Source organism: Homo sapiens, chromosome 6 (assembly GCF_000001405.40).
Source record: "Homo sapiens chromosome 6, GRCh38.p14 Primary Assembly".
Classification (NCBI taxonomy): Eukaryota; Metazoa; Chordata; class Mammalia; order Primates; family Hominidae; genus Homo; species Homo sapiens.
Window position 1 is genome coordinate 164,792,618 of NC_000006.12, and position 17,609 is coordinate 164,810,226.

The 17,609-nt window shown below is 39.2% G+C and overlaps 1 long non-coding RNA gene across 1 annotated transcript in view, besides 2 other annotated features; it reads right to left on the bottom strand.

The window, feature by feature from the left end:
• Positions 1-759: 759 nt before the first annotated feature.
• Positions 760-17,609, bottom strand: part of MEAT6 (melanoma-associated transcript 6) — a 28,687-nt gene continuing 11,837 nt past the window's right edge. The window contains exons 2-4 of the long non-coding RNA NR_131926.1: positions 13,079-13,112; positions 12,339-12,473; positions 760-1,535 (exon numbers count right to left, since the gene is read on the bottom strand). This is a non-coding gene — a long non-coding RNA (melanoma-associated transcript 6). The remainder of the gene's footprint in view (positions 1,536-12,338; positions 12,474-13,078; positions 13,113-17,609) is intronic.
• Positions 3,683-3,852: an enhancer, noted in NCBI's record as "experimental_91179 CRE fragment used in MPRA reporter constructs". NCBI's record gives its function as "activates a minimal promoter by MPRAs in K562 erythroleukemia cells, with activity observed for the non-introgressed 6:165209874 or rs77895845 variant allele {active_cell/tissue: K562}" and the evidence as "EXISTENCE:reporter gene assay evidence [ECO:0000049][PMID:34662402]".
• Position 3,768: a transcriptional cis regulatory region, noted in NCBI's record as "Neanderthal adaptively introgressed variant 6:165209874 (GRCh37/hg19 assembly coordinates) or rs77895845 in the experimental_91179 CRE". NCBI's record gives its function as "modulates activity of the experimental_91179 enhancer by MPRAs in K562 erythroleukemia cells {active_cell/tissue: K562}" and the evidence as "EXISTENCE:reporter gene assay evidence [ECO:0000049][PMID:34662402]".

Sequence of the window (17,609 nt, forward strand, 5' to 3'; positions counted from 1 at the left end):
TGATGTGTCTCATATATTATTTTTCAAATATAATAACTTAGCTGTAGTTTAGCTATAAGAAATACTGTATATGTCAATTGCATCTATTATGTTACATCTGTCACAGTCACCATGTCCTTAGCAATATAACACATGGATAAAGTACGATTACATAAATCTTATGGGCAGGGACATTTGTTTATAACTGTCTATTTTTGGTGATTTTTATTCTTGCCCCATATGGAGTGGGTACTGTCTATCAAGTGAGACTTGGCAGTAGCTGCAGGAGCAGCAGCATCAAGAGTGAGCACACTGATGAAAACAGAAGAGGAGCTGCAGATCAGATTTCTTCAGGAGGAGGAAGGAAGTAATAGGTCAAGGGAAGGAGAAGCAGCAGACAGAGAAAAAACTGGCCAGAGTAGTAGCAGAAGATCTAAGGAGGATGGGGAAGCAGAGGGCTTTACAAAAAGCATCATGAACAGTGTTGTATGCTGAAGGGAGACTGAATGCAGGGGAGACTCAGAGTGCCTGGAATAAGCAACAAAGAGGTTCATAAGCCAAGTGGAATGACTCAGTCATAAGACAGTAAGGATACCTGAAAGACCACACTCTTTGGAGAAGTATCCCAAAGAAGAGAGGGTGATATGGAATCAGGGAGAGAGACACTGGGAGAAGAGCCTCTCTTCTTGAAAAGGCACATGGAGAAAGAGGGAGGCATGGGTAAATATGGTTTATTTTTCCTGGGCCCTGGGAAGTTAAAGGAGTTCCCACCAGATGGTCCTGACTTAATGAGATAATTTAGTGGTGCGAAGGAAGGCTGAGAAGAACGTTGCAAGTCTGTGGATACTGAAGGGAAGAGAGAGGCCCCACAGCAGCTGAGAACCACGTGTAGTGAGCATGAATTTGTACTGGGCTGATTTTCGTGATTACAGGATGTTTTTTAGCATTGAAGAACTTAATGTTTAGTGTTCTGCTGTCCTGGAGGTAAGAATAGAGAAGGCAACGTGGATGTTAAGCTAGAGCTATGTATGAGAGTTATTGCAAACAGAGGAGGAAAGGCAAGTTTAAGTGAAATAGTCACTCAGATGGGATGACCAATCGTAGTGTCTACAACTGATAGGACTTGGAAATTGACTAAGGAAACTGATGACCTGGGAGGAAACAAAGTCATTCGAGGGAGCAGTGGTCTGAAGAAGTTTATGGGGAGTGAGAACTTGAAACTCACCTAACAGTGGGGTTGCAAGGCTATGGTCAAGATGTTGGACTCTGAGGTTCTGATGATGAGGTTCAGTGCCTTAGGCTGGGTGACTTAAGAGGAGTGGAGTTGGAGATCAGGAAATCACAGGCTGACACCCCAACGCCAAACTTCAATCCACAGCTCTAGGTTGGGTGGCACTTGCCTGAGGTTTGCGCTGACATCTTTCACAAAGCTTCTCATGTCCCTCCCTCTCCCTTGGCCACAGGTTGACTTCATCTCCTGTGTCCTCAAGATTTCCTGCATATTCCTGTTTGTTCTCATGTTCTCAAATCCTTAATTCCATCAAGCATCCAAGAACCTTGACATAAGAACAACAACAGAAAAACACATCAAACATTAGTTCAGGGACATTGAAAGAAAAACAACTTAAAAATTAGTTACGAATTACACAGGTAAATAATGGATGATACAGAAAGTTTTAACCATCTTCTACCTAAGCTAACAATTTAGATTTTTCCCTGTGCAGTGGTAAGTCTTCCCTGCCAATATTCATCCGGTCATCAAATTACTAGCTATGTTGAGTCTAGACACAGAAACCAGGACCTAAGTCCTAAGAATCTCACCATACGACACGCATGGTGTGCATCTGGTCCCCGCAAGATGATCCCAACCTGGTGGCCCATTACTGGCCATCTAAATGGAAGTTAATGTTTCCATGCCATTGTCACTATTCAAAGGACACATGGAGAAATTACAAATGGCTACAATCTTAAGTCATCAGCCCATCTTCTTTTAAAAAGTAAATAAGACTCTTTTTTTTTCTCCCAGCTGCTCAGTCACTTTTTGTGACAGAAATGCCGTGTCATTATCCTTCAATGTGAACTCCACAGGAAGGCTGAAAATGAACTAAAGAGCCTGGAAAATGTGGCTTGGTCAAGATCTACCTATCAGCAAGCACTCGAGCAATGTCTGAGTGGCCTGGTAATGGAGCCCCTCACAGAGCCTGTCACCAGCCAATCACAGGCATCACTCGGAGGCATTTTCCCTTGGACGTAGCCAGCATCCTGTTTCTTCAAGTTCAAAAACTAAAGCTTCCATATACCCCACCCTCTCAACGGAGAAGCTGAATGTAAACTGTCCGTGCTAGGAAATGTGGTAACAAGCAGTGAGTAATGAAGGGTCCCCTGCTTGCTGCCTCAGTATTTCCCTGACTATTCTTTTTTCTTTCTATCATCCCTTTCTTTTAACTGGCATTCGTTTTCTGAACTATTTTCCGTGACAGATGCTTAACCTTCACTTTGCTTTCCTGAAACGTGGCCTGGAGAATCAGGTCTTTTCAATATGCTCTATGTGTTTTTCCCCCTCTGCCAACATTAGTATTTGAAAAAAATTTGGGGACCGCATAAAGCTGGCAGGACAGAGCCATCCACACCATATTTCTTTGTTATTTGTGCTTAATATATTGTTGGCAGCCTTGTCTGTTTTAGCTTGTTGGCAGGATTTGGTCTCTCTTTCCCTGGCACTATTCCCTCGTTTTTGAACATGCAGGGAAATTTATTTAGAGAGCTTTCCAACAGTCCATTTTTAGACCCATGGATGTAAAACTCACCAGTCGACCCTGTTCCATCAAACGGCCAAGAAGCAGTCCTCATTGTAATTAATCATTACAATAATCATTAATAATTACTGACATGCACATAAGTTTTGAATCTTAAAAACACAACATATATTTGCAACTTGCATAATGTCTCAGTAAAAACCTTCAGAAGACACTTGTGGCAAAGTGCAGAATCTCACAGTGAACTAGCAGCTGAGAGGCCATGAGGAGGCAGAACGCATTTGACAAAACGCAAAACGCCTTGAAATGCAGAAGAGTTTGGCAACATGCAGCTATGACAGTGAACTCTAGTATTTGTTGCATTTGGTTTTAGCTCATTATAAAGAAAATGTGTTGCAAATCAGGTAGAAGAAGCTGCTCCCTAATAATTAAAGCATGTGTCCTAAACAGGTAGTCAATTTCTTGACCGGAGGCAACCTTGAGCTGATAGCACATGTCAGTTCAGAGGATGTAGTGCAAGGAGTGAATTTCATCAGTTCTATATAAAAAGAGATTTCACCTTGATCACTGCTGTCTGCTTAATGGTTGTTCCAGTTCACATCTCATTTGATTAACAGAAATTTAGAGAAAAAAAATTAAAACTGGTGAAAAAAATTCATCAAAATGGAAAATCAGTCACTGGCATCCCCTACAGCAGCCCCACTATACTTGAGCTAACAACTTACAGCCCCTCTCTAACCTATACATAAATCGTTCTTCAGAGTTTATTCCAATCATCAAAACCTGCAAGTACATGGATCATGTACTGCCAAAAGATTCTGCATTGGCATTTAAAATACGAATTTAAAAGCTTAAAAATATATACCGCATTAAGGATGTTTATCTCTGAGATGTGGGACTGTTTTCTTTTTGTATTCTTTTGCATGTAATCCTTTTATAATTGGATGAACAATATGTAATTTTAAGAAAGTAGAGAATTTCTTTCCTCAAGTATCAGGAGAATGAACAATCTTAAAATTAAAATCAACTTTTTGTGCAAGAATTTTCCAAACACTTGAGCAATTTTTGACTTAAATCCAAGGTTTCATGACTGAAGGTGTACTTAGCAACTATCCCATGGTGCACACTCCAAAAACTCTACTCCAATATGCCAGTGAGTGTTTTCTACTCCAAAGAATAGTGAACTATGTCCTGTGAGCCCAACTTGACTGGTTCCTTCTTTTCCTATGGCCCACAAGCACATAATAATAGTTTTCATCTTTTCAAAGGGTTTATTTTAAATGGTTATTTTAGTACCTACACAATCCCTTCTGCTTTTGGTATTTTTGTTTGACAGCAAAACCTAAAACATTTATTTTCTGGCCCTTTAAGAAAGAACTCACCAGTCACCGATGTAACAAAAAGTGGTCCATATTGAAAGAATTGTAGGATACAGTAAGTAAAAACAGGAAAACGTTTTTTCACTCAATCCCTCTCAAGGCTTTAATGTGCTATTAGGTATTATAACTATAACTAAATTATAACTATAACTATGCATCCTCCCCAAACTATTTGACCATTTAGAGTTTCCTTCTAGGCAGGCTTTATGATATATTCAAGGTTATTATGAAGTGTGGTGCATTGTTATTCAACTAAAGGAAGTTTGCTCTGTACCTTTATAGGAATTCATAAAGACAAGTTACTACATTCAGGTCCCAGATGCAGCTCTTTATGGAAAATGACATCATGTAAAACAGTGCCTCTGTCTGCTCAGAGTTCACAATCATTTCAAGAAATAAAAGACTGTTTTTTTTAAGTGTAGAAATGGTATGTCTCAAAGACATCAGTAATAGAAATAAAAGCCAGTAATTAAATTTGGATTTATTCTCTTTTTTCTAGCACACAGCCTTTGGGATGGGGTAGAGAAAGAAGTGCCCTTCCTTACAAAGACAGGAAATCAGGCATCTCAGTTTTAAGAATTGCGTCTCTTTATCCGCAGGGATTGGTAAACAGACTTTTCAAAGTGTTGCTAAGAACCATAAAACTCTTGTATCTTTTGTCTATCAGGCTTCAGAGAGAACGAGGAATGAAGAAGAGCTGAAAAGAACATGTGTAAGAGATCAGGAGAGGGTGGGGGATGTGATCTTGAAGCCCAGAGCATGGTCTGCAGAGTGTTCCAGGGACAGTAAATAGCCAAGTGTGCAGGGCCAGCGCACAGTGCAAAGAGGCACCTGCGAGTTCCAGAGCTGCCAGATAAAGCCCTGCACACAAGCAGTGGGGAAAGGATTCCCTATTTAATAAATGGTGCTGGGAAAACTGGCTAGCCATGTGTAGAAAGCTGAAACTGGATCCCTTCCTTACACCTTATACAAAAATCAATTCAAGATGGAATAAAGACTTAAACGTTAGACCTAAAACCATAAAAACCCTAGAAGAAAACCTAGGCATTACCATTCAGGACACAGGCATGGGCAAGGACTTCATGTCTAAAACACCAAAAGCAATGGCAACAAAAGACAAAATTGACAAATGGGATCTAATTAAACTAAAGAGCTTCTGCACAGCAAAAGAAACTACCATCAGAGTGAACAGGCAACCTACAAAATGGGAGAAAATTTTTGCAACCTACTCATCTGACAAAGGGCTAATATCCGGAATCTACAATGAACTCCAACAAATTTACAAGAAAAAAACAAACAACCCCATCAAAAAGTGGGCGAAGGACATGAACAGACACTTCTCAAAAGAAGACATTTATGCAGCCAAAAAACACATGAAAAAATGCTCACCATCACTGGCCATCAGAGAAATGCAAATCAAAACCACAATGAGATACCATCTCACACCAGTTAGAATGGCAATCATTAAAAAGTCAGGAAACAACAGGTGCTGGAGAGGATGTGGAGAAATAGGAACACTTTTACACTGTTGGTGGGACTGTAAACTAGTTCAACCATTGTGGAAGTCAGTGTGGTGATTCCTCAGGGATCTAGAACTAGAAATACCATTTGACCCAGCCATCCCATTACTGGTTATATACCCAAAGGACTATAAATCATGCTGCTATAAAGACACATGCACACGTATGTTTATTGCGGCATTATTCACAATAGCAAAGACTTGGAACCAACCCAAATGTCCAACAATGATAGACTGGATTAAGAAAATGTGGCACATATACACCATGGAATACTATGCAGCCATAAAAAAGGATGAGTTCATGTCCTTTGTAGGGACATGGATGAAATTGGAAATCATCATTCTCAGTAAACTATCGCAAGAACAAAAAACCAAACACCACATATTCTCACTCATAGGTGGGACTTGAACAATGAGATCACATGGACACAGGAAGGGGAACATCACACTCTGGGGACTGTGGTGGGGTGGGGGGAGGGGGGAGGGATAGCATTGGGAGATATACCTAATGCTAGATGACGAGTTAGTGGGTGCAGCACACCAGCATGGCACATGTATACGTATGTAACTAACCTGCACAATGTGCACATGTACCCTAAAACTTAAAGTATAATAATAAAAAAAATTAATTAATTAAAAAATAAAAAATAAAAAAATAAAAAATAAAGCCCTGCACCAACATTGTGGCCCAGGAAATGTCACCAGGGAGGTTTGCCTTGCCCTGGCTGTGGGAATAAATAGTGCTCTGCCTGTTCTTTGGAACTTGTTTGTTCAGTTTTGATCATCACATGAATGGAATCAATATCATGCACATATGTTAAGACATTGCCAACAAAACACAGGACAGACAGACAGCAAAACACAGGACAGACAGCAAAACACAGGACAGACAGATAGCAAAACAAAGGACAGACAGCAAACACAGGGAATTGTTCAGGTTTCAAGGAGCTGAACTCTGTGAGGTAAGTTTTACGTATCTACTCATTGTAAATAAAAGTAATGTTTTAAAAGATGTTTTGCCTTGACGCAGAACATAAGCAAGTTCCCTGACTCAAAATATTCTACGCTCCACTACTTCAATTGTTCAGTTTTCGTAACTCCCCAGATCCTTCAACAGGCATCCAGGTCTGCCCAGGATGCAGCCCAGAGATTTCTGGTTTGCCCTGTTTAGAAATCCAAAAAGTCTGGCTTTTTACCTTTAGATAGTTCCAAAACAGGAAAATAACCCTATTTCTTAAGTGTTAGTAATATGAGAGGTAATAAAATTGATTAGATGTTAAAATACACAAAGTATGAGATGGTTAAATCAGACACACAAGAATTGGAGATTTTAACCTGTATCAGATCTTCCTGTACACCAAGGGATAGACATAACTAACTTTGAGACACAATGAAGCGTGAAGTCTGAGACCACCTGGCACTCATACCTCACTGCGCCAGAATGTTCCCTAGCCCAAATTAAATACATGAGATCTCTAGATGATGTTACATAAGATATTATGATACATGAGATCTCTAGATGCTGTTACATAAGATATTATGTTACAAAGGGAACTATTTTGATCATAAAATATCTCCATGTTTTACCTTCGAAGATATATAACTGTCATTGATATTTTTAGTGGGTCATGCTCCAGAAATTCATGAATTTCAGTTTGGTTCACTATAAAAAATCTAAGTTGACCAGATATAACCTGCTAAAAGCATTCTTTCAATAATGCCTCTTCCTTATACTAGTAAATGCTATCAACAATTTATGTTAGCATGTTTTTAAAAAGACCTATTAGTAATTTTTTTCTTTGTATTCTCACTCTTGGTGTTCATATGATAGAAAAAAATAGGTTATAGGTCAGCTTCGAATCCTTTCTTTCCCATTCTTCACTTTCAAATATCATTTCCTAAGCACTTTATTATGCTAGCCTTTAAACTATAATAGCTCAGGCAGCTAAGAATTGGAAAATGGAAGCGAATTACAATTGGAGACATGGCATGGACATTAAGCCTGGAAATCAGAAAAAGGTGGACTTGAAGCCTAATTGCATGCACACTAAATGATATGAAAGGGTTATCATCTGCATAATGGAGACGATGATACATGGGCCTCATACATTTCCTTAATGACTAAGTAAAATAATATAACAAAAATTTTTAGCACAATGTTATACTCTTAGGAAAACCTGAGAAAAAGTTAACTATTATTTTGTTATAGTTTTGAAGGTGATAGGGCATGGTTATTGGTGACCTTGAGAGACAGAAAAATTCAGAAGAGCATAAAAGAAAGCAGATAACTACTGCTCATCAATATCCAGCTCTCCTCTATACTGGGGCATATGGGATTCTTGTACTCCTTCATCTCCTTGAAGGTAAGTGCATGTGACTTGTCCTGGCAGCTGAGATTCTATTTCTTAAGCAAGAAGTGACATAGCCATTCCCAGGTGGAAGCACCTATGAGCCGGTGCTCACCTCTTCAGCTGACTCTTCCCAAGATTCAGTGACCATGGAAGCACTTACTGATGTGGAGGTGCCTATCAGTAACACTCAACGGAAGCAGCCTAGAATATCCTGCTAACACATCTTGTGAATGTGAGACAGCTGTCCCGAGGATTCACAAGGTACAAAATGGACTATCTTTGTGTGAGACCACACTATTTCTGAGGCTACTTCACTGAGAGTGTTTATTATTACAGAATAATGTAGACTATTTTGACTCATACAACTTGTATCGAGAGAAAATTCAGCAAATTTCTATAATTAAAGTAAGGTTGTCTGAATTTATGTGCATGCATTTTATTGTCATTTACATTTCATGCTTCCCAAAGTACAACCCAGCATACAATGTAATGAAGGAAATGGCTAAACATGCATACAGCGAATAGCCAAATTTCTTCTTGCATTTTGTGATTTCAATAAAAGTGGTATAAATGTGGTATTGTACTTAGTGTATTAAGTAGCTGATTTTGCAGACTGATTTTCATCCACAATATGCCCCTTGCACAAAGAGAACACTGCTCAGAATACGTATTGACAAATGCCTGATCCTTTCTAGTCATGATGAATAGAATAGGTTGTCATGAAAAATTGCTATTTTCTAGAACAGATTTTGAAAATAAAAGCCAATAGAGAGAATGTCAACAATCCTTGGGCTTTTCAGTTGACGATAAGTAGAGATCAATACCTTGTATTTAAATGGACATGCATTACACCTGCTATATTCTTTCTACATTGATGTCAACTTGGCATTTCCCTAGAAATTTTTCTTACAAGAAAAGCAATATTGTATCCTTTTATTCCTTCTGTCCTGAGTCTATATGCATGCTATTTCTGTAGAAGGTTTCTACAGAAGAACCTTTCTATAGAAGGTTTTAACAGCCAGTGCTACAAACTAAAATTTGAATAAAAGAGAAAGTAATTTCTTGTTAATACATTACTTTTTATTATATTTGAGATGAGAAGTTTAATTGGAATATTTATTAAGAGAGGTAAATTGTCTCAGATCATTTCAACACCTTACATGAAATATATGTACATATTTATTTCTATTTTATGTGAATAGTATGATTAACTGCCAATCATTTAGAGTTATTTATACTAAATGCTAGATTATTTTTATGTAGTATTTAAATCTATTTCTTCAATCCTAAACCAAAAATATATATTTGATTTTCTTTCAATATCTTTGTTACTTATGACTCTTATTAAGCTCAGGATTTAATGGTCCTGGTTCTGTTCCTGACACCTTATCAAATTTGTGCTGGAATTTTTTCTTGAGCAAACTGCCACTATATTTCAGAATGCAATGCCCTGCCTCATCTCGTGGTCACTCCTGCAATTCCCCACATCTCACAGCTCCACCATCATTTGAAATGAGACTTTGCTAACTTCTAAAACAGTTTCACTGTTCTTTCATTCTTATCTTCCCACTTCTGGTCAAGATAATATAAAAGTTTACCTTTTACTTTTAGATTTTGAAGCGTTACACGATTCTAAAGAATTTTGTGTAACATATGTGCTGAGGGTTGCCCCTCATTGTGTCAAATTTTTCACAAATCTATTTTAACTTCAGTTTCAAGATGGCATTGTGTCCAAAGGGGCTGGGCATGTAAAAGAGTCATGCGACACTGGAGCATGTCGGGTAGAAAAAAAGCTCCGCTAGGACCATGATGTCTGGGGTCCCTGGAGGTCCTAGCAGAGAGTACGAGATACGTGTTACGGTCATTCATCCTCCTAGAGAAACACTGGAAAACAATATCATATCCAGAGAAAGGACTCGAAAGGAACCTAAAGATGTGGCCTTAAAGTCACTTCCTCTATGATGTGAGCATGACAGACTCTATCAGCTCTATTGTTTTAGTGCAGTTGCTATGAAACTATTCTATTAAATTAGAATAGAAATTTAATATTCTATTCTATTCTATTAAAAGCCAAGACCCTCATCAGCTGATGGGAGGAGCTGGGTCTTCTTCTATGTGCCAGAAATTTTAGCCAGAGAGCTAAAAGCTTCTCCCAACGCTCAGCAGGAAACAGAGGGCATTTCTTCAGCTTCTGTGCAATTGTGATGGGGGAAGGGGCAGGGAACGGAGTCACAAAACAAGTATACAACACAACCAGCCTACCCTCTAGGTTGGGTTGGGTATCCAAACAGCTAGAGAGAGGGAGGCCAGGGAGAAAAAATGGGACACTGACCCCAAAGAAGACACAGGTAAGGGCCACAAATCTAAGAGACAGAGGGAGAGAGAGGAGAGAAAGAGACCATTCACAAATTGAAGGAGTTTGAGTGTAACACACACACACACACACACACACACAAACATATCTTTCTAGGGATTTAAAAAACAAAAAAAATAAGATTTTCTTACTATATAATTCAGTAAATGCACTGGAGAACAGCTTGGTCACCGTTGAAACCAAGGTCTGCAAAATCAAGTTAAGAAACTATTTTGAGGCATACAGCATAAAAAAGGGACTTCTGAAGGACATAAAGGAAACTTGGAAGATAGTGTAGGGTAGTACCAGGAAAACAAAATGTTTATAATAGGAGCTTCAGAGTGAAGGATCGCATATACAACTATCATCATGAAAAAGAAAAAAATCTAACCTTAGAGTATGTAAAAATTCAATGAAGACATTCCTCATAGAACACTGTTTGAGAGAAAGCTCTAGCCAAATGAAGAAACAAAAATACAAAGCTAAAGAGACAAGGATTTGTGAAGTTCAGAGAAGAGGAAATATTGGAGAATATGATGTGGTTTAATATGACACTTGAAAATGATGTATTCTGCAACTGTTGGATGAGCAGTTCTAAAAATGTCAATTAGGTTAAGGTGACTGATAATGTCCTTAGGATCTACAATGAGTTATTTTTTTTCTCTAATTGTCCAATTAGTTACAAAGAAACATGCATGAATATCACCAACCATGTCTATTAATACCTCCAAAATGTGCTGTGGATTTGTCTGTTTCTCCCTTAAATCTTGACAGTTTTGGCTTCCTGTTTTAAAGCTCTCTCATTAGACACAAAATACAGTATTTATAACTTCTTTATGTTTTGGCAGTTTTATCATTATAAGACCTCTCTCTCTCTTTTTCTCTAGTAACATTCTTTGCCTTGAAATCTAGTTTGAATCTTATTAATATAATCTCTCTTCCTTTCTGATGTTTATTGTTTAAGGAAATATTATTTCTAATATTATATTTTCAACCCATTTATGTTTGTGTGTTGTAAACTCTTCTCTTGTGGACAGAATACAATTGACTTTTCCCAAATTTATCCTGATAATTCCTGTCATATGATTGGATTATTCAGTTTATTGCATATAATATCATTATTGATATGATTGTTTTTAGGTGTGCTATTTTGCCATTTGTTTCTTTTTTATTTTTTGTTTCCCTTTAGTCATTCTTTTAAAAGTTTTTTTGATTATTCCATTTTATTTAGTGTATTGAATTTTTAGCTATTTTAAAAATCATTTTTAGTAGTTTCTCTAAGAATTAAAATATGAATTTTTAAATTAGAGTCATCTTGGAGGTATTATTCAATTACTTCAGGTAAAATATAGGAAATTTCAAAGAAATATATTTTTATTTCACATTCCCATCTTTAGTGCTTATTCTCATGTATGTTATATCCATAGACATTATGAACTAAGCTAAACTAAACAAAAACACTTTATGCTTTAAAAAAATCATATATTTTTAAATGAGATGTATAGATGAGATGATAGGTGATTGATAAATAGATGACATAGATAGATGGCATAGATAGACAGATGATAGATAGATGACATAGATAGATAGATGATAGATAGGACACTAATGGCTTCAGTCAGACAGGGTTTGGTTTGGATTACTAAAGCAGACTTATAGGACCCCGAAGAACAGTGCCTATGAAACAAGTTTACTTTAGGAAAAGGATACAACATAGCAACTGCACTAAAGCAAGGACATGAACAGCAGCCAGAGGCTGCCCCACAAAGCAAGACCCACAGCACTCAGAGTGGGCCCTAAGAGTCCTCCCCTGAAAGACCTTATAGATGGATGCACTCTCTTATTCAAATCCAGAATCACTGACATGCACCTGGATACCTACAAGTCTCAGCTAGGGCATTTTAAACCTATATATTATTAGTTTTTAAGGCTTCAGTAAAAAAAAAAAGAAAAAAAAAGATTGAGTGGCTTAAATAACAGAAATTCATTTTCCCACAGTACCTGAGGCTGGAAATTCAAGGTCAAGATGTCAGCAGGGCCAGTTCCTTTTGAGACATTTCTCTTGGCTTGCAGATGACCATCTTCTTGTGTCTTCACATGGTCTTTCCTTATTGAACATCTGTGACCTAATCTCCTCTTCTTATAAGAAGAGATTCGTATAAGGATGCAGGTCATATTGAGTTGGACACTATCCTACTAACCTCATTTTAACTTATCTAACTCTTAAAGGCCCTATATCCAAATACAGTCACATTCTGAGGTACTAGGAAATAGAACTTCAACAAATGAATGTGAGGAAAACACAGTTCAGCCCAGAACACCCTGCTCATCATGTGGGCATAGTCTTGCTATCCAACCAGCCTCACTGCCAGAGCCCTCTGGAGACCTTACCTGGATCAGTGCAAATCCTTGATCCCATTACACAAACTACCTCCAACCCCACCTTGCCCCCATGATGATGAAGCACACTATTAATCAGAACATTTAGTGCCTTCACTAGGCACCAGTGCTGTGCAGGGACAACACTTATTTCAACAAAAGAGTCAGGTCAATTGAAGCCTTCCTGTTGTGATTAACCCTCAGTGAGGAGTGTGTGCATGTGTGCGTGTGTGTGTGTGTGTGTGTGTGTGTGTGTGTATGGGAGAGTGTTTGTGTATGTGTGAGAGAGAGAGAACACATTTCTAGATCAACACATTTCTAATTGTTACCCATGGGATGATTTGCCCAGCCACTCCACTTACCATGATCAAAAGCTGATCTTCAGTTTTGACTGACCTTGCAAGGTACAGGGGAGAGAAGAAAAAAAAAGCTCATCAGAATGGGAATTCCAACAGGAGATATCTAAATAAAGGTGGGACCCTATGGAGCTGGGTTCCCTGATAATGGATAATCCCATTTTAATACAACTTCTTCCCATTAGTCCTTTTCCCAGGTGACTACAAAGGAAGTTGCCTTATTCAGGGCAAACCAGGGGAGAACAAATACATGTATGTATGTTTGTTCTACATACATACAAATACAAATATATTTGTGTGTGTGTGTATATATATATATGTAAATATGGATAGATTTACAACCACAAGACTGTGTTTGTGCATTGTGAACACTTACTTATTTAATATAAGTGGTCCAAAACATCTGTGGCCATACGTTGAATTTAAAGTGGTTCCAATTTAAGATGTCAATAGGCACCAGGCAGAGACAAATTCAAATGTTTCCCAACTGATGACACCTTGTCCTGTGCCTTAAACAATCCCCACAAATAAAATTAGCAGCTAAGTAATTAGACGTCAAGGAATCAAGACACAATGACTGATAGTAATAAGAGGAAAACAGTTTAAAAAACAGATGTAAAACTCTTTTGATATGATATTTATCAGACATATATGATAAAGCAACTGTATTAGTCTGTTCTTACACTGCTATAAAGATACTACCTTAGACTGGACAATTTATAAACAAAAGAGGTTTAATTGACTCACAGTTTCACATGGCTGGAGAGGCCTTAGGAAACTTACAATCATGGTGGAAGGTGAAGGGGAAGCAAGGCACATCTTACATGGCAGCAGGAAACAGAGTGGGGGAGGGGTGAAGTGCCAAACACTTTTAAAACCATCAGATCTTGTGAGAACTTCCTGTCATAAGAACAGCATGGGGGAAACTGCCCCCATGATCCATTCATGTCCCACCAGCTCCCTCCCTCAATCCATGAAAATTACAATTGGAGATAAAATTTGGGTGAGGACATAAAGCCAAACCATATTATTCTGCCACTGGCCCCTCCAAAATCTCATGTCCTTCTCAAATTGCAAAATCAATTATGACTTCCCAAAGTCTTAACTTATTCCAGCATTAAGCCAAAATTCCAAGTCCAAAGTCTCAGTGGAGACAAGGCAAGTCCCTTCTGCCTATGAGCCTATAAAATCAAAAGCAAGTTAGTTACTTTAAAAAAACAATGAAGGTACAGGCACTGGGTAAATATTTCCATTTCAATTGAGAAAAATTGGCCAAAACAAAGTGGCTAAAGGCCCTACACAAGTCCTAAACCCAGATGGGAAGTTGTTAAATCTTAAAGCTCCTAAATCTCCTTTGACTCCGTGTTTCACATCCAGGGCATGCTGATGCAAAGGGTGGGCTCCCAGAGCCTTCAGCAGCCCTGCCCCTGTGGCTCTGCAGCATACAGCCCATGCAGCTACATTTGTGGGCTGATGTTTAGTGCCTGCAGCATTTCCAGAGGCAAGCTGTCAATGTATCTACATTTCTGGGGTATGGCCACTGTCTAGTGGCCCTCTTCTCACAGCTCCACGAGGCAGTGCCCCAGTGAGAAATCTGTATGGCATTTCCAACCCCATATTTATCTTCTGCAATACGCTTGCAGGGGTTCTCCATGAGGGCTCCACTCCTGCAGCAAACTTCTGCCTGGACATCCAGACATTTCTATACATCCTCTGAAATCTAGGTGGAGGCTCCCAAACTTCAACTGTTTTCTTCTGTATGCCCACAACTCTAACAATGCCTGGAAGCCACCAAAACTTGGGGCTTGCAGCCTCTGAAGCCATGGCTTGAGCTGTACCTTGGTCCCTTAATTAGAGTTCTCTAGAGGGACAGAACTAATAGGATAGATGTATATGTGAAGGGGAATTTATTAAGGAATATTGACTCACATGATTACAAGGTGAAGGCCCAAAATAGGCCTCTGCAAGCTGAAGAGCAATGAAGCCAGTCTGAGTCCCAAAACCTCAAAAGTAAGGAAGCCAACAGTGCAGCCTTCAGTCTGTGGCCAAAGGCCTGAGAGCCCCTAGCAAACCACTGGTGTAAGTGCAAGAGTCCAAAAGCTGAAGAACTTGGAGTCTGATGTCCAAGGGCAGGAACCATCCAGCATGGGAGAAAGATGAAAGCTGGAATACTTAGCAAGTTTACTTCTCCCATCTTACTCTGCCTGCTTTATTCTAGCTGCACTGGCAGTTGATTAGATGATGCCCACCCACATTGAGGATGACTCTGCCTCTACCAGTCCACTGACTCAAATGTTAATCTTCTTTGGCAACACCCTCACAGACACACACAGGAACACTACTTTGCATCCTTCAATCAAACTGACAATATTAACCATCAAAGGTCCACCCCTTGTCAACTTGAACTCATACACATCTCCTGAAATTATACATAATCTCCAAATAAAGACAATAATGAGGTGATAATTTGGCTAATAAAATACAGCTATCCCTTGTACAACCAGAAGCACATTAATCCTTAACCTAAATGCTATCACATAAAGTTAACAACACTTAAATGCTAATATGAAGTCAACAAATCTTATGTCACATGAAAAGGAAAAAGAAATGAGATAAAATTAAGATTTTTTTTAGTAGAAGTGTATACATGCACAAACCTATTCTTAACAAAATAAAAAATATATTCATGACAATTACAGTCCTTGTTTCTGCAACTGGTCACATTGTCATGGCTGGTTTTAATGACTACTTTCTTCTGCTACCCATTCTGTATTCCCTTTGCCTTCTGCAAGCACCTCAGGGGGTCATGCTTTTTTACTTCTGGTGGAGTGACCCAAACCTTCATGCCTGAAGAGTCTGGGCCATTTGTAGTCCTGCCTGGGTTGGGCCATTGTAGTTTCCCATGGACCTTAATCACAGGGCCTGGTAATACTAAGAGATGCCCTATGGAATCTCCTGTATTTTATACATACTCTTCCTTACTCCATTGTGGAATAGTAGATTGATTTCATCTTGATAGTCTGGGTCAATCTCCCTAACCAACACTGTAAGATATTTTCCTAGTACAAGTGTATACATGCACAAACCTATCCTTAACAAAAGAAAAATTATATTCATGACAATTACAGTCTTAATTTCTGCAACTGGTCACGTGGTCAGTTATTAGTTATTCCTCCTACCCTTAGGGGTAGGAGGAGCCCAAAGTGCCCAGGTGGCAATTGTAACTTTTGGTTTAATGGAATCATTGTTGTATCTCCTGGTGGCAGCATTCCTCTCTCTGAAACTAAGACTTTTAGGCCAACAGAACATAAAGTCAAGGAAACAGGAAGCAAAAATTTTGCTAGTGGGTCACTAGGGGTGATGGTGAGTGGCGGCACTTCCACTTCCACTCCTTGATTCCTGGACCCATGAATCCTGACTATGGGAGAAAAAGCACCATATATTGCATGCTGATTCAGAGCATACACAACCTCCTGGAGACCTTTGCCCCAGCCCTGCAAAGTATTGTTACCTAGTTGGCATTGCAATTGTGACTTTAAAAGACCATTTCACCAATCTATCAATCTAGCTGCTTCTGGATAATGGGGAACATGATAAGACCATTGAATTCCATGAGCGTGAGCCCACTGCTGCACTTCTTTAGCCGTGAAGAGGCAATGTTATGTGGAATACCATGATCATAGATAAGGCATTCTGTGAGTCCATGAACAGTAGTCTTGACGGAAGCATTGCATGCAGGATAGGGAAACCCATATCCAGAGTAAATGTCTATTTCAGTGAAGACCAACTGCTGCCCTTTCCATGGTGGAGGAGGTCAAATAATCAACCTGCCACCAAGTAGCTGAGTGATCACCCCAAGAAATGGTACCATATCAAGGGCTCACTCTTGGTCTCTGCTGCTGGCAAATGAAGCACTCAGCAGTGGCCGTAGCCAGGTCTGCCTTGGTAAGCGAAACTCCATGTTCCTGATCCCATACATAGCCTCTATTCCTGCCACCATGACCATGTTTTTCATGGGCCCATTGGGCAATGACAGGGGTGGCTGGGGAAAGAAGCTGAGTGGTGTCCACAGAGTGAGTCACCATTTGATTATTAAAATCCTCCTCTGCTGAGGTCACCCACTGATAAGTATTCACATGAGATACAAATATCTTCACAGTTTTTGACCACTCAGAGAGGTCCATCCACCTACCTGTTCCCCAAATTTCCATGTCACCAATTTTCCAATTATACTTCTTCCAAGTCCCTGACGATCCAGCCAAACCGTTGGGTACAGCTCATGGATTAGTATATAATCACACATCTGGCCATTTCTCTTTTCAAGCAAAGTGCACAACCAGGTGTATTGCCAGAAGTTGTGCCCACTGAGATTTCCCTTCACCACTGTCCTTCAGAGATGCCCTAGAGAGGGGCTGTAGTGCCGCAGCTCTCCACTTTTGGATGGTGCCTGCATATTACGCAGAACCATCTGTAAACCAGGCCCTTCTATTCCTCTGTCAACTGATCATAGGGAACTTCCCATGAGGCCATCAATGCA